At 42.5% G+C, this 25,447-nt stretch overlaps 1 long non-coding RNA gene across 2 annotated transcripts in view, besides 1 other annotated feature; it reads right to left on the bottom strand.

Moving 5' to 3' along the window:
• The window catches only part of LOC105378429 (uncharacterized), a 35,018-nt gene extending 16,891 nt beyond the window's left edge, over nucleotides 1–18,127 (bottom strand). Inside the window, exons 1-3 of one of the 2 annotated variants that reach the window (XR_946202.2) lie at nucleotides 17,915–18,127; nucleotides 11,755–11,875; nucleotides 8,590–8,790 (exon numbers count right to left, since the gene is read on the bottom strand). This is a non-coding gene — a long non-coding RNA (uncharacterized LOC105378429). Of the gene's footprint in view, nucleotides 1–8,589; nucleotides 8,791–11,754; nucleotides 11,876–17,914 lie in introns of those variants that run through there. The other variant, XR_946203.3, reaches the window with a different exon arrangement.
• Nucleotides 17,425–17,474: an enhancer, noted in NCBI's record as "active region_3760". NCBI's record gives its function as "activates an Ori minimal core promoter by ATAC-STARR-seq in GM12878 lymphoblastoid cells {active_cell/tissue: GM12878}" and the evidence as "EXISTENCE:reporter gene assay evidence [ECO:0000049][PMID:35858748]".
• Nucleotides 18,128–25,447: the final 7,320 nt, after the last annotated feature.

The following is a 25,447-nucleotide window of genomic DNA, read 5'->3' as shown; positions in this document are numbered from 1 at the left end:
CTGAAAAATTCTTATTCATACTGAGCTTGCAATCAATTGATCCCTAACTTACCCTTTCCTGAATTTTTGTCATATGAACTACTGTCATGTTAGGGTTACCCAGTTCTGAACTTGTGCAGTTCACATTTCGGACATGAGAACAGGACTTTGCATTTATCCTTATCAATTGTCATCTTGCTGGCTTGGGACCATTATTCCTTTCTTGCTAAAATTAAATGCGGGCTGACTGAACTAGTTTTGTTTCTCTCATCAACCTAGCTTTCTATACTAGCTCTTCTTCCCCAGATGCTATGGCTGTGGGTGAAATATGAAAGCTTCCCTGTGTTTAGCTCCTCCCACATTTATCCAAATCAAATTTTCCTTTACAGCATAGCTCAGTTTCCTAGGCCTCAGTTCCTACTGCTTTCCCCTTTTCTAACTTCCTGTAACTTCCTTTCTAATCCATCATTTTGTCCCTTAATTGTATGATAGCGTGCGCTGACTTAACTTTCCCTTTCAGGGCGGTAGCTCCTGGAGTGTAAGAGCTTTGACTTATTTGTTTTTCAACAGCTAGCACAGAGCCAGTGGTTGATCTATAGGCATTTGTTCAATGAAAGAATATCCATAGAAGCGTCATTACATACAGTCTCATTACCACCTGTGTGCAGACACCTTTTCAACCATACAGATATGACTGACTTCTCAGACTCTTGCCAGGGCATCTCTCTAGTTATGTTAGTCATATTAGTAGCAGCAGCAGCATCAATCATAGCAAATAATTCCTAAACACTTAACGTATGTGACAGACATTGTTCTAAGTGCTTTATCTGCATTAACTCATTGATTCCTCACAATATGCTTGTAAGACAGGTACTATTATTATTTCCACTTAGCCAAGGAATGGATGAGTAACATACCCAAGATCACACCCTGGTAATTGGTAGAATACTCTGGTATCTGCATGCAGATTGGTTCCAGAACTTGCACTTTACAGGGTGCCCAGATAGCGCCTTAAATGTGAATTATATGGAATATGAATTATATGGAATTTTATATTAAAAAGAACTTCAATTATCTTCTAGTCCAGTGATCTTCAAACTGGAGCATTTGTATCTCTAGAGGAGTAGAAGTATTTTTCAAAGGGTACTTGAGCACAGATATTTGAAGAGGATCCATTTCTAGATCCTGAACTTCCATATTATTATTATTAAACTTTATGTTTTATTAAATTAGGTCTGCGTAAGAAGTGGTTCCTGTTCACAGTAGTCATTTTCCCACTTTACAAAAGAAAGACATGTTCCTCACCCACCTAAGATCTTACTTTGGTGCCTTATTACAAGTTGTGAAGCTCTCTGGGCACTAAGCAAAAGGAAGGCCTTAATTAACAAAATAGCACCACGAATCCTAGGACATTTGATCTTTGGGGAGCATTTCTATGTAAGCATTTTCAGTAAATTGCCTAAACAGATGGAAATTGAGGGCTTATCTGTGATTCCAAACTAGCTAATGATAGAGCTGAGAGAAAAGCTACATCTCAAATCATGAAAAATGAATTTCAAAGTAGGGGTTTATAGGGAAAGGATAAGTTTGGACGGAAAGAATTGGAGAAGGGATTTCAGTTGGGAGGACAGTAGTATAAAAGAAAGTTTGGGAGAGAAATGAGTAAGCCCTATATCAGGGACCTATGGATTTTTCTAGTTTAGGTCTGGTTTTGAAAAGAATGAGAAAATGGGCTATTTCAATGACAGTGAAGGGATTTCAAAACTATCCTTAAAGAAACATAAAGCTGCTGTAAATTCCTAAACAAAAGAATCCTGAATGCATTTGTAGGAGAACTGGGTGGGATAGAGATCTTACAGAGAATGTATTCAAGAGGCTCTTGCAATAATTTAGGGGTCACATAAAAGTGTCTAGACTCAATAGAGGCTACACAACTGGAAAAGAAAGAGCTGGTCTGAAATACGTTGCAGATAAAATAATCAACAGGACTTTGGAGTAAGTACTGTAGAAAAATCAAAGATGGCACCTGAGTTGTGAGCCTGGTGACTGAAGATAACGGTGGCACATTATACTGACTTTAATAAGGAATGAGTGGGGAGGCAAGAAGAATCATTCACTCACTTTTAAAATCCATTCAACAAGTATTTATTGGGCAAATACTATGCACCAGTCACTACTAGATGGTGAGGTGAATATACAGCGGGGGAATAAAATATATGTTGTTACTATCCTCTTGGAGCTTGGTCCAGGAAGGAAGAAAGATGATAAGCAAGACAAATACCCAAATTCCAGGTAATTGCTATCAAGGAAACAAATTGTGTGTGGATGATAGGGAATAACAAGGGAGGGGTTTCTACTTAGAGCGAGTGGTCAGATAAAACCTATTTAGGTGATATTTAAGATGACATATCTAAAGCATAAACCTAATCTCTTTTTTGCTGTCCAAAGAGGAATAAAATAGGGAAGTAACATTTCTTAAGCACTGAAGACTACAAGGAGTTTGATACCATATGACCACGTTCTTATTTTACGGATGAGGAAAACTGAAGCTCAGTAACAACCTGATCAATGTTACACAGAATTCAACATCATGAGCCCAAACAATGTCAATACCTGTAAGTGATTGACATCACTTACAGGTATTAATCATCTCTAAGGAGATGATTAATAATCATTAATAATCTCTAAGGAGAATTAATCGTCAAAGAAAATAATCTTTAGCAAAGAAGTTAGACTTGATCCTGGAAGGACTATAGCAGACATTATAAAGAAAGAGGACATGTAGCTACTTCAGATGAATTCAGTTCTCTGGCTTGAGACAAGTCCTAGACACTGAAGGAGATTTGGACTGTAATAGACAACCACTGTCAGAACTCTCTGAAAACATGGGGAAAACATTAGTGATGAACAAATGTACTCCCTTTTAACATAGAGATGGGAGTGGTAGCTTATGAAAAGAACAGGTCAATAGAACTGATATTGATCTCCCTGCCAATTTCTGGACTAGTGTGCCAACAGACAGGTTAGGAGCCCAAGCTTAGTGCCAGACATACTGCAAAGGAGCAAATTGGGTTCCTCCACTTCCTAGCTGTGAGCTCTGACCCTGAGCACATCACTTAACCTCTCTGGGCTCAGGTTCTTCATCTGCAAACAGATGAAAATGACCATTTTATAGGGATGTGAAGGTGCAGTGAACTCATGTATATACAGCACTTAGTACAGTGCACAGTAGATGGAGAGCATTCAATAAACAGTAACAATTATAGTTACAATTTCTCAAATTGCTTATTAAGCACATGACTGGCAAGCACTTAGAAAAGGAAGCGGTAATAGCCAATCAGTCCTTCATTCTACAAATAATTCTTGAGTGCCTACCAGGGGTCTTTCCTAGGGGTCTTTCCTAGGGAGAAAAGAAAAGATGCAAAAAGGAATTATGATTTATTTTCTTCCTGAAAAGGAAAGATTTGGCTTCTTCATTAACTATCCTGTTTCCATCACTGGTTATACGGTACACAGTTCTTTCTGCCTGATCTGTCAGGGAGGTTGTAATTCTGCATTTTTGTGTGTGGCATTGCAATCTATCTGTTGCCATGGAGAGATAAAGTGAAAAGAAGGCAAACCCTGGCTTCAATACAAACAGTGTCAAAGAACAAATATAGAAAAAAAGTAATGAAAACAAATGGAAAAAGCGAAATGGCTTTCTGCTTGAATGTGTATATGACAGCATGAAATCTGTTCTGGCATGAGGGAAAACAGGAAATAGAACCAATACCTTATGTTTTAAATATTTGTTTAAATTCATATTTTTAAATGTGAAAGTCGCCATGAAGCTATCATAAGAAGAATGCAGAAAATATTAATTGCAAATCATTTTCGTACTTTATTTTCTTTGTGGTTAGAGCTAATTTTATAGCGATTTTTTACTCTGAGGAACCGACACCTAGGTTGTTTGAATTGCAAAGATGATATAAGGATATGTGGCTCCTTTTCATTTAGACTTGCAAAAAAAATTTAAGAAATTTTAGTTTTATCATTTAATTTCACATTCTCTTTCCCTAAACACATACTCTCCTGGTAGAAAGGCATACTTCTTGGGATGGCATTGGAGACAATGAGGCAATTGATATTTATTAAACACCTACTACACTGTATACATTTTCATATATATTATTTCACTTAATGTACACAACAACAAGGGGCCGAGGATACTCTATTTTTAATAAGGAGCTAAGGTTCAGAGGACCTGTGGGACTTGCCCAAGATCTCACTGCTAACAAGGCAGGTTAGGGATTTTTGACTCTAAGCTTGGAGCTCTGACCACTTTCTGATACTACCTCCTATCAAACTCGGTGGTTTAGAGGCCAGAACACAGGCTGGGAAGAGGAGACCTGGGTTCTCGTTCCCAGTGTTAAAGCTGTGGGATAGTGGGAGAAACTACTCTTCTGGCGTCATTTTCTTATTTGTAAAGGAAGAAACGGAGGGCTACAAAACCTGGGGTCAACCTCCAACTCCATCCCACAGGCCTACAATCTGTGGTCAGAGGTGGATTCACTGTGAAGCTAATAAAGTTTCACCTCCAGAAATCCTTACTTGCACAGCTTCTGTGAATGATAGCTGCTGCAAGGAGCTGTAGAATGTTCTAGATGGAGAGAAAAGCTACATCGCCATCAGGAAACATTCCTATGTACTCATTTCTGGAAAACCACCTAAAAACCATTCTCAGAGGAATGGTTCTGAATTTCTAAGATTCCAGGAATTTGAAAGTCTAAATAAATATTCACTTTTGTACCTGATTTGTTTTCACATTTTTTTAATGCTTTTTTTCTAATGAAGGCCTTACAAATTGTATAAGCATCAAGGTCTGTCTCCTTCTGTCTTGATTCTGTGGAGCAGGTGGAAAAGGGAGCAGAAAAAGAAGGGAAACTGAGGCAGGAGACTTCAGAAGCTTCCTTAAGCTGCCCAAGTGCCCTCAAAGCTGCCGGCCTGCTTTGTACCCCATAGTTCTTCCCTGGAGAGGAAAGTCACATTCCACAGCGATTTTGGGGCCTACGCACCCTCCTGGCCCTTCCTCAGACACGTGACTAGTTCGAACAGCTGCTGTCCTGACTTGTGAGCACCCTGAGATGCCACTCATGCCCATCAAGCATGAGCTCAGATCCTCCCCAAGTAAAAGCTTTTATTGGATAAGCATCAGGGTCTGTCTCTTTCTGTCTTGGTTCTGTGGAGCAGTAGGAAAGGGTGCACAAAAAGGAGGGAAAGTGAGGCAAGAGAGTTCAGAAGCTTCTGCCTCAGTTTGTTTTATTTAAACATTTTTTAAAACAATAATTTAAAAATGCCATACAAAGAAAAGGATAGAAGTACCCACTCATCAGCTCTGTGTGTGGAAACTTCTGAGGGACAGTGGCAGAGAAAGGCCTCCAGGCAGGACGCCCTGCGGAGGAAAGAATGCCTTTGACAGTCAGTGTTGCAGCAGTCTTGGGAATCTCTCAAGAACCAACTGATACTGAGATCTTCCACCATATTCTGCCACCCGCCTGGCCCATGTCTGCTAGCCCATCTTCCCTGCTGTCTTTGCCACTCCCACCGCTTATGGTTCTCACTTCACAGTGTGAAGAAATCACAAGCAAGGGTGGGCAGCAAGTTCTCAGTCTGTGTCTACATGGGAATCAAAGCAGCAGTCCGGATAATTCAGGGCAGAAAACTTTCTTTTGCATCAATCTTGTTCACTTATTTCAGGCATTTTTCTTTTTGAAATGTCCGGATGATTACTTCCAATTTCCACTTCAATTTAAAAGGCAATAAATAACCTCTGAGCTCCTTTCCCAAGCAGCTTAGTTAGAAGAGGCGGAATGGTTGAGGACAGAATGAATCTTTTTGAGGCCTATTGCCTTGTTTCTTGGGAGACCCATTTTGATCTTAAGTAGACTAGAGCTTGCAGAATGTACATGCAGGGCCTGTGTTTGTCCCCATACTCCTTCCTACCATCCTGACTGCCATCCTCACCTTCACCCTAACTTCCAGTTCCAATGATCCTGAACCTCTGGGGGCTCAGCCTTTTTTGTAGGCATGGCCTAGAGGCCTAGGAAGGCCTGAAATGAGGTTCTGTGAATACCCAAGTCAAGCTCTGTTGATCTCTCTGGAGACTGGCACTGCCCAATACAACAACCTGCTGTATCGGGAATATTCCATGTCTGTGCTATCCAATGGAGTGACAATGGACTGGAGTGTATCAGTCGCATGTGGCTATTGAGCACTTAACATGTGTAGCTAAGAACATGAAGTTTTAATATTATTTGATTTTAATTAATTTAAATTTAAATAGGCTCATGTGGCTGGTGGCTATCATGTTGGACAGCATAACTCTAGGTCTCAGATGACATGTGCCCCACTCCCGTGGATCAACTTATGTTCCTGGTTTCAGACCAGAGTCATTGGGCAGGTGAATTAATACACTGTTAATGAGGAGGAATTGGTAGTATCAGACTTTCCATAAATATCTGAAATGGGTCGCTTTGCCCTTGTTCAGTAATTGACATTAAAGTGAGAAGCAGACTCATATTACAGAGTCCCCACCAGGTGAAAGCATCATAATTATATTATGTATATATGTATGTGTCTGAGACAAAAACATTCCACAATCTTCTGCCTCCCCAACCCCTTGATAACTTCTGTTAGGCTGATAGGAGAAAAGGTTGCTTACTAAAGAAACAAGAGAAGTAGAGACCAGGTAAACTATATTATATATGAAAGAGCTTGAGCTTACAGGGATGGGAAATGTGAAGAAGATACCTGAAGGGCAGGTAGAGGGTATCAGCAAAGGAGTCAGGAGTGTTAGGGAGAGAAAGAGATGAGAGGTTGGGGCACCTGCCACCCAACGTGGGACTTTAGGGACTTGGTTGTGTCAAGAGTTTTAAGGATATTTTGCTCTGTATTAGGTACTTCAATAATAATTTTCATAGCAAACACTTTTTAGTACTATGTCCCAGCACTGTTCTTTATATCTATTAATATATTTAATCTTGAGCCTCTAGGCCTCGGCTTTAAGAGAAGCTGAGTCCTCACAGGTTCAGGACCATTGAGACTGAATGTTAGGGCAGAAGTGAGGGTGGTGGTGAGGGTGGTAGGAAGAAGAATGGGCACAAACACAGGTCTTGCATCTAAATTCTGAAGCTCTAGCCTACCTAAAATCAAGATAGGTCTCCAAGAAACAATGCAGCAGGCCTGAAGAACATTCGTCCTAACTTAGCCATTCCATCTCTTGTCATTTCCAGACCTACAGGGTAAATACTATCATTGCCTCCATTTTACAGATGAAGAAACAGAAGCACAGAGATGACCTTGGTAACCTGCTCAAGGGAACACACACAGTAAGTGGGAAAAGCAGGATTTGAACTTAGGCAATCTGGCTCTTAAGTCCATGGCTTAATCACACATGTGTTGCCCCTTCTAAGTCCCGTTTGCCACTTAAAGAGACTTCTTAATATATACGTATTACTTTTCAAAGTATTTTGGAATTGATTTCTGTTTCCTCTGAGTGTGACGCCCTGGCTATACAGGATGGGAGGAAGCTGGCCCAGATTTATTTGAGACCCACACACGATCTCCTAACAGCTCAAAGAGGTTTCTATGATCATCCTTACTTTACAGGTTTGAGAGGATAAACCAAAATTATGGTTTTGGCTTAACCAAGTCATGTCACAAGGATTTGAATAAAAGTCTGGCAAGGCAGCCAGATCACCTGAGGTCAGGAGTTCGAGACCAGTTTGGCCAACATGGTGAAATCCAGTCTCTACTAAAATTAGCTGGGCATGGTGGCACATGCCTGTAATCACAGCTACTTGGGAGGCTGAGGCAGGAGAATTGCTTCAACCTGGGAGGCAGAGGTTGCAGTGAGTGGAGATTGTACCACTGCACTCTAGCCTCGGCAACAGAGTGAGACTCTGTCTCAAAAAAAAAAAAAAAAAAAAAGTCTTTGGGACTTTTCTTCATGTTCTTTCAATTACCAATATTTTTTTAGTCCACAGTTACACTTACTGCCTCCTCTTAGCTTTAGGAAAAATGTCACTGGCTTTTTCACATAAACTTCAAATAAGTGAGAAGATACTGAGGAAGTCTGACAGAAAGGAAGCAAGCCACAATTCTATCATTCTGTCTCCCGGAGCTGGTAGTTTCTTACAGGCCTACTCCACACTAAGTATGAGAAATGGATCCCAAAGGAAATAACAACAAAATGAAGATGGTTTGTAGAAAATGAGATTTATGAGCAGAGGCCAAAGGAATTGGATTCATAGATTTGTAAGTATGTTTTTCAACTCTTTCTACATGAAAATGACTTGAAAAGCTTTTAAAATACACATGCCCAGGGTGCAAGGCAAGGATTCTGCTATGATTTGAATGGTTGTCCCCTCCCAACTCATGTGAAATTTAATTGCCACTGTAACTGTACAGTCTTAAGAGGTGGGACCTTTAAGAGGTGATTAGGCCATGAGTATTTGGCCCTCATGTATGGATTAATGATGTTATGGTGGGAGTGGGTTCATTATCATGGGAGTGGATTCCTTATAAAAGGACAAATTCAGCCTCCTTTTGTCTCTCTCTTACCTTCTCACTTTCTCACCTTCTGCCGTGGGATCACACAGCAAGAAGGCCCTCGCCAGATGCTGGTGTCTTGATCTTGGACTTTCCAGGCTCTAGAACTCTGAGAAACAAATTTCTATTCATCATAAATTACCCTGTCTCAGGTATTCTGTTGCAGCAGCACAGAAGGGACTTGGATTCCAATCAGTAGGTCTGGGAACTTTCCTCTAAGCCCTGGCATAGAGATGAGGCAAAAAGAAGGGATGGGCATGTATGTGGCTGTGCAGCTGGTCACATTTTCACAGCAGCCCCTTAACAAAGTGGGCGTATATTTGGACACTGCAGGCTGAAGGTCTGGGTTCAAATTCTGGTTCTGATCCTTATTAGCTGAATGACTTTAGCCATGTAAATTAATTTTCCCAAAGTATAATTTTATCATCTGGAAAATAAGGATGTTTTTCTACTTTCCTACTACCTGTTATGTGGCATTGGGTTTGAGGATTATTTAAAACAATGATGGGCAAATTAACCTGGCAAACAGCAGGTGCTCAAGGATTTTGATAGATCTGATTTCAGAATGAATGGAGAACATTTGGAATAAAAATATCTGTCAAACATAGGGATATACTACCAAGAGCAAATGAATTTCACTCTGGGGATTTGTGATTTTCTGGGCACTGATTACTGAGTACTGCTGTATACTTTAAAGTCTCCTTATAATTAAACAAATTGGCCATGGAATTATTTTCTGATGAATTATAAGACATACCTTTCATTTTTAAAGGAATTTTTTAAATTAATAGTACACTTTTATCAGTGAGTAATTATATTTTTAATTGCACAAATGTCCATCAAACATGTTCCTTTTCAAATGCTACAAAGCACTGGGCATTTCCAGAAAAGTCTGTTATCTGTTAAATGGCTGCCATGGAAATTCTTTTAAAGGCTGAGTACAAACCAGACCTGCATTAAAGCACTTTAGAAGTATCAACACAAGAGCTAATTAATTTTCTTCAAAGGCATTAAACTAGTTTAGAATTATGACTATAGCATTGAAGGAAATGAATAACTGAAGTTCTAGCAAATAACTGTGTATCTTTCAAGGAAAGGGTAAAGTTGTAGAGTGCTAATCCTCCAACTATTATAGCAGAAATACCAAAATCTGCAAGTGAGCACATACACTCACTCTCTGGTTTCATTCTCAGAAGAAAAAAGAATTCCTAACGTGGAATCATTGTTTCTCCTGCTCTTTCAGAATGTGATCAGCCAATGTCCATAGCGACCATAGGGAAATTCACTTATTTTACCCTGAATTTTTATAGAAAATAGAAGAGACCCTTTTGCGAAGAAGAATATAAATTTAATAGGCCCTGAGTGTATTTGCTTGGCATTCCCTGAGGTCCACTTTAGGGCTGGCATTGTTGCCAATCATCTTCAGTCAGCAGAGCCCCAGTTAAAAATATCTGCCTGCTGTACCAAGAAGGCAAAGATAGTACTGCCTTTTAATGAATCTGCTTGGCTGCCTGTTTCCCCAGTTTCCTCCTTGCTCCAACAAGCATACTATTGCAGGTTGGGTTGCTTGAGTAGGCTCAGCTCTCAGCCTTATTACCGTCTTCTTAGACACCTTTGCTCCTTGAGAGCCATGTGGAGGAAGAAGCGAATACGCAGATTGAAGCGTGAAAGAAGAAAGATGAGGCAGAGGTCCAGGTAAACTGCTAGCATGTGCACCGTGGAGGCCACAGGAGCAGAAACATGGAATGCCGGAGGCTGGGGATTCTGGTAGAAGTTGTTGGACTGCGTGCCACTGTCTGGAACTTGTCTCTCAATGGATCTAGAACTTCCATCACCAACTGATCACCAAGACCACTTCTGTAAGACCCACCCTGCTCACACCAAAACAACTCCTGTTGGTTCTTTGCCCTGGACCTGTGATATTCTAGACTAGTTCTGCTCTCAGTTGTGGCTGAGTGTAACATCTATATAAGTCATCTCTTCTGCTATCTTCGCTGAAGAATTTTTTTAAAAAGTAGGCTAATCAGTAGAGACTTAAATCCTAGGATTGACCTTCTGTATGAGCCTTCATTCGCGACATTCACACCAAATGCTACAGATGGGCCTCATGATAATGGTGGACATGTTCTTTTACTATCTAAATCACATTATCATGGCTGGGCGCGGTGGCTCATGCCTGTAATCCCAACGCTTTGGGAGGTCAAGGCAGATGGATCACCTGAGGTCAGGAGTTCATGACCAGCCTGGCCAACATGGTGAATCTTGGTCTCTACTAAAATTACAAAAATTAGCCAGGTGTGGTGGCGTGCGCCTGTAATCCCAGCTACTTGGGGGGCTGAGGAAGGAGAATCACTTGAACCTGGGTGGCAGAGGTTGCAGTGAGCCAAGCTGGCGCCACTGCACTCCAGCCTGGGCATCAGAGTGAGACTCTGTCTCAAAAAATAAAAAATAAAAAATAAAAATAAATGTAAAAAATCACATTATCAGTATTGTTACCCCTTTTTCCTGCTCACCCCAAGTCAAATTCTATTTCACTGATAGATAAGCAAGTTGGAAAGAGCTAGATTTTGATGTCAGAGAGACCTGAGTGGATCTGCTGCTTTTCAGCTACATGACCTTGGGTGGGTTATTTAACCTCTTAAGCCTGGGTTTCCTTATCTATATGATGAAAGTAATGAAATCAACCTAATGTAAGGATTAGAGGAAATGATGCATGTACAGCTGCCAGTACATAATAGGCTGACCTTCGGTCAGAAACATAATTTTAAAAAATTGATTCTTCTTGCTCCTGACCCACCCATAGTAACTTGTTTGGTAAACAATGCATTAAATTATTATATAAAAAGTTAAGGAAGTATAATATAGAGAAACTTGCATTTCTGTAAAATTATTGAAGTATACCAAGCCATAATAATCAATCCCTTAGAAAAGCAGATTATAAAACTGTATATGCTTGTTATGAAAACACATGCATACACACACACACGTTCGCTTTAATGGAAAAAGCTTTGGGATTATGCAATAAGAGGTTATCAACGGTTCCCTGTATGGTTGGTGAGATTTCATCTTTTTGCACAAATGGATTTTCTAATTTTCTTCAATGAATATGCATTACTTATGAAATTAAAAATCCATTTCTAAAACCATTTTGTAGCACTTAAATGGCATTGTTAATTTAAAATATACCTTTATCCCAGTTCCATCTTTTGCATCAGGACATTGGCAGCCTGGTGCCCTGGAAGGCTTCCTATTTGCACAGTGGCACAGGAACAGCAGGTGCTGAGGCCTGTGTCTTAAGGTCCAGAGTCTGAAAGATAAAGGAGAGAGGACCTAGTGAAGAATCAATGAAGAGTGCCTCTTTATTCTGCAAATGGGGGAAATTGCATTGCTAGATTAAGCACTGACTGGATGTTCAAGATGCAAAACACAGGAACTGTTCCTGAAGAGCATCAGGCAGGAAAAGGAAATGCTAACCTGGGGAATGGTCTTCCAGGCAGGAAATCTATCTGGAAGAAATATAAAGTGTACAAGGGCATCCAGTCAGCATCTGTCACTCCTAGATTTTCTCCCATATCTCTCTTAATTACTCTGTCCCAATAGGACTGCCCCATTCCATGCACCTCCATGCCATTTCACACTTCTAGATCTCCACTTATACTTCTGCAAATACACACATGCACACACAGGCACACATGTGAGTCCATATAAACACATACTTGTATTTTCCTGTTGTTCAGATCCTGTTCATAGAAAAAGGGCAAAAAATGAGATACCATCTCACACCAGTTAGAATGGCAATCATTAAAAAGTCAGGAAACAACAGGTGCTGGAGAGGATGTGGAGAAATAGGAACACTTTTACACTGTTGGTGGGACTGTAAACTAGTTCAACCATTGTGGAAGTCAGTGTGGCGATTCCTCAGGGATCTAGAACTAGAAATACCATTTGACCCAGCCATCCCATTACTGGGTATATACCCAAAGGACTATAAATCATGCCGCTATAAAGACACATGCACACATATGTTTATTGCGGCTCTATTCACAATAGCAAAGACTTGGAACCAACCCAAATGTCCAACAACGATAGACTGGATTAAGAAAATGTGGCACATATACACCATGGAATACTATGCAGCCATAAAAAATGATGAGTTTATGTCCTTTGTAGGGACATGGATGAAATTGGAAATCATCATTCTCAGTAAACTATCGCAAGAAAAAAAACCCAAACACCGCATATTCTCACTCATAGGTGGGAATTGAACAATGAGAACACATGGACACAGGAAGGGGAACATCACACTCTGGGGACTGTTGTGGGGTGGGGGGAGGGGGAAGGGATAGCATTAGGAGATATACCTTATGCTAAATGACGAGTTAATGGGTGCAGCACACCAGCATGGCACATGTATACATAGGTAACTAACCTACACATTGTGCACATGTACCCTAAAACTTAAAGTATAATAATAATAAAATAAAAATAAAAAAAAAAGAAAAAGGGCAAACCTTCCAAGATCCAAGGACCTCCTACAGGCTAGGTTGGATTAGGTGGGGGATCTTCCTTGGGAAAGCTAAGGGCAGCATGGAAAGAGGGAGATTCCTAAATATGGTTGATCAGAAAATCAAAGGTCCGAGTCAGGGAAGGGATACCCCAGTAGCCCAGCCTAGGGAATGAGCCAAGGCCAAAACAGAAACTATAGATCCCAGGCCAGAAGCTAAGAAAATTGGGAAACTGACCAGAAAGAAACAAAGTGGGTGTGCAGATCAGTAAAGGACAAGTGCTTGAAGTCAGGCAAACCTGGACTTATCCGTGCTTCACCACTCCCTAGTGTGATCTTGGGAAAGTCTCCTCACCTCCCTAAGCCTTGGCTCCTCATCTGAAAAATGAGCTTGATTATACAACCTTACAGTGTTGTTGGGAAGATTCAATCAGGGGCAGACATGCATGTTAGTGTAGGCCTGGCTTAATAACAGGCTCAGCTGTGTGGCTCTAGCCTGACCATCTAGCTTCAATGCAATGGAGACTGCAATGGGAGTGGGGAACCCCAAGGGCATATCAAGTGGTGATGGGCCATGGCATTGCTACCCTGGGTGCCCTTTATGTAGAGAATTTAAAAGTAGTAATAAAATGAAATAAAAACTGTTGCTGTACAGGCAAGCTGAGAGCCAAATCATGAATGAACTCCCATTCCCAATTGCCACAAAAAGAATAAAATACCTAAAAATACAGCTAACAATGGAAGTGAAGGACCTCTTCAAGGAGAACTACAAACCACTGCTCAGAGAAATCAGAGATGACACAAACAAATGGAAAAACAGTCCATGCTCATGGATGGGAGAATCAATATCATGAAAATGGCCATACTGCCCAAAGCATTTTATAGATTCAATGCTATTCCCATTAAACCACCATTGACATTCTTCACAGAATCAGAAAAAAAAACATTTTAAAACTCACATGAAACCAAAAAAGAGCCTGAATAGCCAAGGCAATCCTAAGCAAAAAGAACAAAGCTGGAGGCATCATGCTACCCAACTTCAAACTACACTACAAAACTACAGTAACCCAAACAGCATGGTACTGGTACAAGGACACACACATAGACCAATGGAACAGAATAGAGAACCAGAAACAAGATTGCACACCTACAATCATCTGATCTTTGACAAACCTGACAAAAACAAGCAATGGAGAAAGGATTCCCTGTTTAATAAATGGTGCTGGGAGAACTGGCTAGCCATACACAGAAAATTGAAACTGGACCCCTTCCTTACACCATATACAAAAATCAACTCAAGATGGATTAAAGACTTAAATGCAAAACCCAAAACTATAAAAATCCTAGAAGAAATCTAGGCAGTACCATTCAGGACATAGACACAGGCAAGGAATTCATAACAAAGATGCCAAAAGCAATTGAAACAAAAGCAAAAATTGACAAATGGGGATCTAATTAAACTAAAGAGCTTCTGCACACCAAAAGAAACTATCATTGGAATGAACAGACAACCTACAGAAGGTCTAATATCCAACATCTACAAGGAACTTAAATTTACAAGAAAAACCCAAACAACACTACTAAAAAAAAAAAAAGTGGGCAAAGGACGTAACAGATACTTCTCAAAAGAAGACATACATGCGGCCAACAAACATATGAAAAAAACCTCAATATCATTGATCATTAGAGAAATGCAAATCAAAACCACAATGAGATACCATCTCACACCAGTCAGAAAGGCTATTACTAAAAAGTCAAAAAACAACAGATGGCTGGTGAGGTTCTGGTGAAAAAGCAACACTTTTACACAATTGGGAGTGTAAATTAGTTCAACTATTGTGGAAGATAGTGTGGCGATTCCTCAAAGACCTAGAGGAAGAAATACCATTTGACCCAGCAATACCATTACTGGGTATATACCCAAAAGAATATAAATCATTTCATTATAAAGACATACGCACATGTATTCACAATAGCAAAGACATGGAATCAACCTAAGTGCCCATCAATAATAGACTGGATAAAGAAAATGTGGTACATATACACCATGGACTACTATGCAGCTGTAAAAAGGAACAAGACAGTGTCAGTTGCAGGGACATGGTTGGAGCTGGAAGCCATTATCGTTCGCAAACTAACGCAGGAACGGAAAACCAAACACTACATGTTCTCACCTATAAGTGGGAGCTGAACAATGAGAACACATGGACAAATGGGAGGAACAACACACTCTGGACACTGGGGCCTGTCAAAGGGTTGGTGAGGAGAGCGAGCACCAGGAAGAATAGCTAATGAATGCTGGGCCTAATACCTAGATAATCTGTGCAGCAAACCACCATAGCACACATTTACCTATGTAACATACCTGCACATCCTGCACATTTACCCCTGAACTTAAAATAAAAATTGGAAATCAAAAAGAAGAAGAAGAAGGAGAAGGGAGAAGAAGAAAAGTGTTGTTGCAACCAGCAATTCTAAACAATGTCAGTGCTAACACTCCTCCCTGCTAGGGAGCTGCTCCACTCCCACACCCCCTCTCACTCCTACCCCAGCCTATAGAATACTCTGGCCTGAAGAATCAGCAAAGGAAACAGCCACCACCAGATTCTCATCTCTTTCCCAAATGGGCTGCTGCTCCTCTGAGTGGAGGGAGGACACTACACCTTCTCCCTCCCTGCACAGGGCCAGCACTGCAGAGGTGCCCCCTGACTTCAGAGTTTTCAGGGTCTCAGTTCCTCTTCCCTCTTGGCCAAGTTCATCTATTCTGCCTGCAGCACCTCGTCATTCTTCCACACTGGGCGGGCAGGCCTTGGTCCACACTCACAGGTACCACATGGGAGACCATTTCTGGGAAACTGGGGGCTCTAAATTTCTCCAGAGAAGAAGCCTCAGACAAAATCCTGGGGGAAGGGCAGGGAGAACTTCAGCAGAAAGGCTCTGATCTCAAAGATGTTATTATTTTGTTTCAGGTGCCCCTCTCTCTTCCTCTCCTCTGTTAACACACCCACACACCTGGTCTACCATGCCTCACTATTAAAGATACCAAGAATTAGAGTCGGCTTGTGAATTATTCTTCCTTCTCATTCGAAAGCATTGGGAGGGAAACAAATAGTGCCGGCCCTGTGCAGGGAGGGAGAAGGTGTAGTTTCCTCTCTCCACTCAGAGGAGCGGCAGCCCATTTGGGAAAGAGATGAGAATCTGGTGGTGGCCGTTTCCTCTGCTAATTCTTCAGGCCAGAGTATGCTATAGGCTGGGGTAGGAGTGAGAGGGGGTGTGGGAGTGGAGCAGCTCCCTAGCAGGGAGGAGTGTTAGCACAAAGAATAATTCACAAGCCGACTTTAATTCTTGGTATCTTTAATAGTGAGGCATGGTCTAGACTGGGTGTGTGGGTGTGTCAACAGAGGAGAGGAAGAGAGAGGGGCACCTGAAACAAAATAGTAACATCTCCTTTGAGATCAGAGCCTTTCTGCTGAAGTTCTCCCTGCCTTTCCCCCAGGATTTTGTCTGAGGCTTCTTCTCTGGAGAAATTTGGAGCCCCCAGTTTCCTAGAAATGGTCTCCCATGTGGTACCTGCGAGTGTGGACCAAGGGCTGCCCGCCCAGTGTGGAAGAATGACGAGGTGCTACAGGCAGAACAGATGAACTTGGCCAAGAGGGAAGAGGAACTGAGACCCTGAAAACATTGAAGTCAGGGGTCACAAGCTCAGACACGTAAACTAAATAAAGCTGGCTGGTGTCAGAGGGAAAATACTATAGAATCTTTCCTATTTGTTTAGAAATTCTGGCTCTTTCAATGTAGCATTGCATTTTCCCACTTACGGTGGGAATATGGGTCCAGATAAATATTTCTATGCGCGTGTTAGGAAAACAAAACTCTTGGCTTCTGTACTGTGGATCCAAATCCCCAGGGTGGGGAGGCGCTGTGTAGCTCAGAGCAGGCTTGTCCCGAGCGAAGTGTGGGTGGCTGCTGCTGGGCTCTGATCCCTGCAGGAATGGGGGTGAACTGAAGCCAGCACTCCTGATTTGATGAGGGAACCTAGCAGTCTGGACTGTCATGGGAACTCTTCTAATATTTGAATGTTGGTTCAATTAAAAACAAGAGCACAGCATTGGAGACCAAAGAAAATACACCAGATGTGGCCCTTAGGCCACTCTTTTTTGAAGTCTGCATCAAACAAAGTTTCTCCTTTGTTCCCCAAGGGAGGTAAGATAACAATTTCCTGTGTAGGCTGAGCCGTCCTAGAGTGCAGTGGTGCGGACACCTCTCCCTCACCAGGGCTGGTCATACCCCACAGCTGCTCTTGTGAGATAATAAACGCATACAGTCCCCTGGGCAGTTCCTAAGGAGAAGTCCAAGGCTGCAAATGGTTCTGCCATTTCATGCATCCCTTCCACTTCTCCCTAGTTGAAAATTCTTCTTGTCCTGAAGGTACTCATGGCCAAAGGCAGCTCCAGCATTTCTATTTAGAAAGGATTTAGGGCTGACAATCTGGTTGCATGGAAGGTGGAACTTGAAGCTGCCTTTACACAGTGCTTTATAATACTGATTGAGAAAAGGCTGTAAATTGTCCTTATCACACTATGAAGAGAAAGCTGCCTGAGGCCCTCATAATATCTCCATCTCCCCGGTGGAAACATTCTTAGCATGCGATCAGAGACACAGCTGTTCCCACAAGGGCATCAATAAATGAGCAGGCTTTATTGTGGTATCTTTTTCTCAAGAATAGTTGTATCCTTGCAATTCTTTTAAGCCAAATGAATTCATCTTTATTAGTGAAATGCTGCTCAGGGCACTCTGTTTAAATCCTTTTAGGATTAAATACAAAGACCGGAGATCACTCACCAAGCCAGTTGGATCCAGCCTCTGCTTGCCTTGCCGCTCCGACCTCACACAGCTCATCCTTCCCTTTCATTGAGTGGTTTTTAGTTTCTTGAAGGTGTGACACTTTCTCCTTTTAGTGTCCCTTGATTTAGCTGGCTCCTGCCATCGTTCAGGCCACTTGAGATGTCACTTGCTCTAGATTGTCCTCCCTGCCCCTCCACCCTCTGCCTTGGGGCTAGATGCCCTTCCTCCATGCCCTTTCAATCATACCCTCTGATTGTGTTACTGATTGTGATCCTACTGCTCTGATTGTGATCCTACTGCACTGTTCAGCCTGCTGCAAGACAGGTTGCTCCAAGAAGCAGAAACAGAGTCATAGTCAGGAGCAGAAAAGATTGAGGAGAGATTCTGAAAAGAAAAGAGGAGCGCATCCATGTTCTAGGGCTGCCACAACAGATCACTATCACCTTGGTGGCTGAAAACAATAAAATTGATTATCTTGAAGTTCTAGAGGCATTCAGGTTCAGATGTCCATTATCAAGGTATCAGTAGGGCTGCATTTCCTCCAAAGGCTGGGGGTGGGGTGGAGAATCTCTTCCTTTCACTTCTGGCCGCTCCAGGCACTCTTTAGCTTGTGGCTGCATCACTCCAGTCTCTGCTTAGGTGGTCGCATGGCTTTTTCCTCTTCTCTGTGTCTTTTTCCTCTGTGTGTTTATCTTATTAGAATACACGTGATTACATTTAGGGCTCACCTGGGTAATCCAGGATGGTTTCCTCATCTCAAAATCCTCAACTTAATCACATCTGTAAAGAATACCCTTTTCTGAAATAAGGTTATATTCACAGGTTCCAGAAATTAGGATGCAGACATATCTTTTTAGGGGGAGCATTGTTCAGTCTGGTGGAGGGAGGCAACTAGAAACAGCTGCCAGACCATGCGGCAGATCGCTGCCGACCAACAGGGATCTCTGGAGTAGACTACACACTAGAGCTTTGGATGGAATTGGCCAGGCCTTGCTCTGCCTTTGGCTAGGGGCTACCGTGAAAACAGAATCAACTCTGAAGAAGCTAAAAGCTACCAGCCAATGACAGTCCTTAAAACCCAGCTTTTTTTTTTTGAAGGGGGATCTGAGCAGCACATCTCTGCCACATTTCTGCCACAGTCCATCCCTTAAACTGTGCAAGGGGCAGTTTTCCAAGGCTCTGGTGGGCCCTTCTTCCTAAGGGAAAACCTATAAGAAGGAGGGACAAACTGCAGCCCCTCATTGCTGCAGTTGGTCTTGGGGCTACAACCATGCTCACTGTCCCCTCTTTCACCAACCATTCTAAATTCTCTTTGCCCTCAGCTACTACCTTTTCTGGTCTGGGTAGCCTACCCAGTGGTGAGCCCCAGACTCTGAGCCCCTGGTAACTATACCTATTTTAGACCAGCATTGCTGCTTTTGTCCATTCATAGTCACAACTGGTCGAGGGAGTACTAAGAGGTCCCCTGGTCCATCAGGAATATCGGTTCTACACATATTGCCCATTCTAGTTGAATGTGAACTGTTTCTGATGGCCTTTTCTATTGGGGATTGAAAAGCATGCATTTGCCAAATTGGTGGTTGGGTACCATAAACCCAAGGCCATATTTATCTGCTCCCACAATGGCACTATGTTGGACACAGCAGATATGATCAAGGTCATTGCTTGGTTGTACTTGTGGTAGTCTTCAGTCATTTTCTAGGATCCATTCAGTTTCTGAAAGGACCAGACTAGGGAATTCAATGGAGATATGACAGGGACCACCATCCCTGCATCCTTGCCTCTTTAATCTCTACTATTCCCCCAGGGTGTAATACTGTTTTTGATTTACTTATCGTAGCCAGCAATTTCTGAGCCCTACACTTGGCCTTCTCCATTATGACAACTCTTGTCTAAAAGCCAAGGACCTAGTGAGGGAGTTACATCAACTGCCAAGTATAATAATACCAATAATACATTTTTGGACAGGAAAAATGACCCCTGTATGGGCCCATGGACCAGTGGACTCACTATAAACCATTCTTTGGCCAGGAATCTATTTATTGCCTAACATCCATGTCCTCCGCTTCTCACAGGAGCCCATGATCATGCTTCAGGTCTTTACGTATCAATGATGATTCAGACCCTGCCTCCAACAGCTGTTGGAAGGTTTGGCTATTTTTCTTTTCTCAGTGTAAAGTCAATCAAGTCAATGGCAATAGGTTCCTTTGGAGAAGGACACTGGGAATCATCACAGTGTGCACTTGCCAAGGTATTGTAGGGTTCTTCCCCTTGCAGACCTAGTCACCTGGTCACCTAGTCTCCTTGCAGACCTAGCCAACAGGTTTTGAATCTGAAAATCAGCTCAGGCCTGGAAATTTGGCAAAGTTATTATTACTTTTTATTGAGGCAATTGCCCTCAGCCTCCTGCTAACCCATTCTTCCTCTCTTCTGATTACATATATAACATGTATGTAATATATGTCAAACATATGACAAACAGCACTCTTGCTGGCTGTCTAGTTTGTCCCTAAGAATGCTAAGTTCTATTCACCGTCTCCATCTATAGGTTAGGCCCTCTTGACTGCCACTCTGTTCTTATTGTTTTTTATGATAATTACAATCTCCTGGCTTCTGGCAGTTAAGTACCACCACCTGGTGTCAAATTGCTTTGGGAGCACCCAAGAGCCCCACTGTCATCAGAAAGCCAAGTTCTGTGACAGACTCTTCTATTGTCAGCCCTGGCCCCACATTCCTGATGGCCTTGGTAAATGGTGTGTCCTCTGATTGGCTTTCTGGCCTCTCCTAATACACCCATTCCTGCAATCCTACCTCCCCGAGCCTTTTAACCACTTCCCCTATGTCTTCCATGGCAAGCAGGCATTTCAATCTCTCAGTGGGGGCCACCACTTTCTCTAGGCTTCTAGGAGGTACCCTAGCAGCAAGTTCGCAGAAGCAAGTTTGCATCATTTCCTGGGGTGTTAAATCCTGTATCTCAACAAAGTGACCCCAAGTAAAAAAAAACAAAAACAAAAAGCAACTCTCCTTTATCCAGACTTATGTTGCAGCCATCTTGATCAAGCACCCTGATCCCTGATGGCTCACTCTGATGCCATCTTGCAGCTCATTTGTGCCATGGTCACTTTACTCCTTATCAGGCCCAGCATATTCCTGGTTCAGATGTGTTGTGATGTGTGCTGATGTCCAGGAGTGGAGGAGGGAGCCACCTGTTGCCTTTTAGGGGAAAGCCCCTTGTATCATCTTTTTACACAAGGAATGTGCTAGCTCTTAATTGAGAAGGGTGAGCCACCCCTACAGGTTCAGAAGGTTCAGAGGAATCTAGGAATGTTTCAGTCCCATGTGTTAGAGTCCCAGCTGTTGCCAACTGGGGCCCTGACTTTGGTCTAACAGCCCTGCTTTTGTTGAGCATTCAAATGTCTTTGAAATTCAGTAGCTCTATTAAATCCTGTGTTTCATCTTCAGCTTTTGCTGCTCACTCACAGTCATAGATTCTTTGTAGAAACTCTTTGCACACTTAGTTTCAGTGGTTTCTTAAGTATTCTCAGCTTTTCTTTATCCTCCAGTAGGGCATCAATGTAACTTAGTAATAATCAGCAAATTCTATTATTTTCGTACATAGAGATTCCCCTACATTCTAATGCTTGAAACAATGCATTCCTCTTTTCCTACATGCCATCCTGGTCTACCATTGGTGAACCTTTTAAATAACTGGACCTCCATCTCATGCCATGGGCTGTCTGTACACTACCTACCACCAGGCATGATGTCCTTAAAACCAGCGAAGTGGTGAGTGATCTAGTTCCCAAGTCTTTATCTTACCACATCATTTCTCAAACCTTTCTTGGTACCAACTGTTGCAAGTTGGGTGCAGTGCAGTTCTCAGCTCACTGCAACCTCTGCCCCAAGCTCAAGTAATCCTCCGTAATCCTCCTGCCTCAGCCTCCCAAGTATCTGAGACTACAGGAGTACTCCACTACACCCAGCTAAAATTTTTTTTGTAGAAATGGGGTTTCACCATGTTGTCCAGGCTGGTCTTGAACTCCTGGGCTCAAGTGATCCACCTGCCTCAGCCTCCCAATGTGCTTGGATTACAGGTGTGAGCCACTGCACCCAGCCAACAATGAGTTTTTTTTAAAGTATGTCTTTCTCATGCCATATTTGGGACACAATTATAGTAAAAAACATTCATTGTTTATCTGCAATGCAAATTTAACTGGGTGCTCTGTGTTTTTATTTGCTAAATCTGGCAACTCTAGCTGGGGGTCACTCCAAGATGTACATGCTCTTAGATACCACTGCTTTGCCCAGCCATTGTCTAGGAGTCACTGTAAGAATAGTGTGGTCTTGGCTTGAAAGCCAGGGTAGACCCAAAAGTGCTAAGTACTGGGGGCTGTCAGCTAGCCACACTCTTGATAGCTGGGCAGCAAGTACTTTCTTGAAGGCAGAACTGCATCTGCCACATTTATTTTCAGTTTAACTGTTGTCTCCCTTGCTAGATGTAAGCCCAATGAGGCTGAGAATTTTCTTGTTTATTGTCATATCCCCAGTGCCTAACAGGGCTTGGCTTATGGCAGGTGTCCATTGTTACTTCTTAAAGTGAACTGTAATTAGGGCTTCAAGGAGCAGTGGGCATTTAGGGAGAACAGAGAGAAGTCCTCTTGTTGTGTCCCCAGAATCACACTCTGAGTTCTGCTGACTCTTCAATGGGCTTTCCTGCTGAGTGTACAATAAACACAGGTGATATGGTTTGGCTGTGTCCCCATCCAAATCTCATCTTGAATTGTACTTCCCGTAATCCCCACGTATTGTTGGAGGGACCTGGTGGGAGATAATTGAATCATGGGGGCAGTTACCTCCATGCCGTTCTCATGATAGTGAGTGAGTTCTCATGAGATCTGATGGTTTTATAAGGGGCTTTTCCCCAACTTCACTCTATTTCTTTCTGCTCCCGCCATGTGAAGGAGGACATATTTGTTTCCCCTTCTGCTGTGATTGTAAGTTTCCTGAGGCCTCCCCAGCCATGCTGAACTATGAGTCCATTAAACTTCTTTTCTTTATAAATTGCCCAGTATTAGGTATGTCTTTATTAGCAGCATCAGAATGAGCTAATATAGTAAATTGGTACCAGGAGTGGGGTGCTGCTGTAAAGATACCCGAAAATGTGGAAGTGACTTTGGAACTGGGTAACAGGCAGAGGTTGGAACAGTTTGGAGGGCTCAGAAGAAGATAGGAAAATGTGGGAAAGTTTAGAATTTCCTAGAGACTTGGAGGGCTCAGAAGAAGATAGGAAAATGTGGGAAAGTTTAGAATTTCCTAGAGACTTGGAGGTCTCAGAAGACAGGAAGATTTGGGAAAGTTTGGAACTTCCTAAAGACTTGTTGAATGGCTTTGACTAAAATGCTGATAGTGATATGGACAGTAAAGTCCAGGCAGAGATGGTCTCAGATGGAGATGAGGAACTTGTTGGAAACTGGAGTAAAGGTCACTTTTGCTATGCAAAGAGACTGGTGGCACTTTGCCTCTACGCTAGAGATCTGTGGAACTTTGAACTTGAGAGAGATGATTTAGGGTATCTGGCGGATGAAATTTCTGAGCAGCAAAGCATTCAAGAAGTGATAGAGCATAAAAGTTTGGAAAATTGGCAGCCTGACCAGGCAGTAGAAAATAAAAACTCATTTTCTGCAGAGAAATTCAAGCAGACTGCAGAAATTTGTATAAGTAACAAGGAGCCAAATGTTAAATCACCAAGATAATGGGGAAAATGTCTCCAGGGCATGTCAGAAACCTTCACAAAAGTCCTTCCCATCACAGGCCCAGAGGCCTAGAAGGAAAAAATGGTTTCCTGGGCTGGTTGCAGGCCCCCCCTGCTGTGTGCAGCCTTGGGACTTGGTGCCCTGCATTCCAGCTGCTCCAGCAGTGACTAAAAGGGGCCAAGATACAGGCTGTGCCATGGCTTCAGAGGGTGCAAGCCCCAAGCCTTGGCAGCTTCCATGTGGTGTTGGTCCTGCAGGTATATAGAAGACAGAATTGAGGTTTAGGAACCTCTGCCTAGATTTCAGAGGATGTATGGGAAAGCCTGGATGTCCAGGCAGAGGTGTGGTATAGGGGCGGAGCTCTCATGCATAACCTCTGCTAGGGCAGTGCGGAAAGGAAAGGTCGAGTTGGAGCCCCCACACAGAGTCCCCACTGGGGCACTACCTTGTGGAGCTGTGAGAAGAGGGCTATTGTCCTCCAGACCCCAGAATGGTAGATCCACTGACAGCTTGTACTGTGCACCTGGAAAAGGTGCGGACACTCAATGCCAGCCTGTGAAAGCAGCCAGGATGGGGCCGTACTCTGCAAAGCCACAGGATCAGAGCTGCCCAACGTCGTGGGAGCCTACCTCTTACATTGGCATGACTTGGATGTAAGTCATAGAGTAAAAGGAGATTATTTCAGAGCTTTAAGATTTAACTACTGCTCTGTTGGATTCTGGACTTGAATGGGGCCTGTAGCTTTGTTTCCGCCAATTTCTTCCATTTGAAATGAGTGTATTTACCCAATGCCTGTAGCCCCATTGTATCTAGGAAGTAACTAACTTGCTTTTGATTTTACAGGCATATAGGCGGAAGGGACTTGCCTTGTCTCAGATGAGACTGGACTTGAACTTTTGAGTTAATGCTGGAATGAGTTAAGTCTTTGGGGGACTGTTGAAAAAAGCATGATTATGTTTTGAAATGTGAGGACATGAGATTGGGAGGGGCTGGGGTGGAATCATATCGTTTGACTGTGTCCCCACCCAAACCTCATCTTGAATTATAGTTCTCATAATCCCCACGTGTCAACGGAGGGAACTGGTGGGTGGTAATTTAATCATGGGTGTGGTTACCTCCATGCTGTTCTCATGATAGTGAGTGAGTTCTCATGAAATCTGATAGTTTTATAAGGGGCTTTCCCCTGCCTTCACTCTGAACTTCTTCCTGCCACCATGTGAAGAAGTACTTGTTTGCTTCTCCTTCTGTCATGATTGTTAGTTTCCTGAGGTCTCCCTAGCTATGCTGAACTGTGAGTCAATTAAACATCTTTCCTTTATAAATTACCCAGTCTTGGTTATGTCTTTATTAGCAGTATGAGAATGGACTGATACATCAGGTAACGGGTGGAAGATCAACTCTAGGTTGTATGGTCTGAGTTCACAGTCATTGAATTATTCATCAGAGTTAATTCTTTTTAAAATTAGCTAAATGGTTTCTAGTAAACAAACTAGTTTCTAGTTGAGGAATTTCAAGAGAGACCTTGGATGTGAGGTCAGTGCTTATTGCTAATGTGTCCATATTTGCTTACCTCCATATATATGTCCTACAGGGGATTCAACTCAGCAGACCCTGAACAGAACTTGCTCTCTTTTGTTCCACTATGGACTCTTCCATTTTGTCTCTTCTATCATATATTCCAGATTTCCTTGCCCCACTTAGCTGCCATATGCAGCTTCCAGCTTTTGAATAAGGTCTGCAGATTCTGTCCCATTTTCACTCTGATAGCCATCTCTTC

This window comes from Homo sapiens, chromosome 10, assembly GCF_000001405.40.
Source record: "Homo sapiens chromosome 10, GRCh38.p14 Primary Assembly".
Classification (NCBI taxonomy): domain Eukaryota; kingdom Metazoa; phylum Chordata; class Mammalia; order Primates; family Hominidae; genus Homo; species Homo sapiens.
Note: the sequence above shows the minus strand (reverse complement) of the source record. Positions and strands in the feature narration are given on the sequence as shown.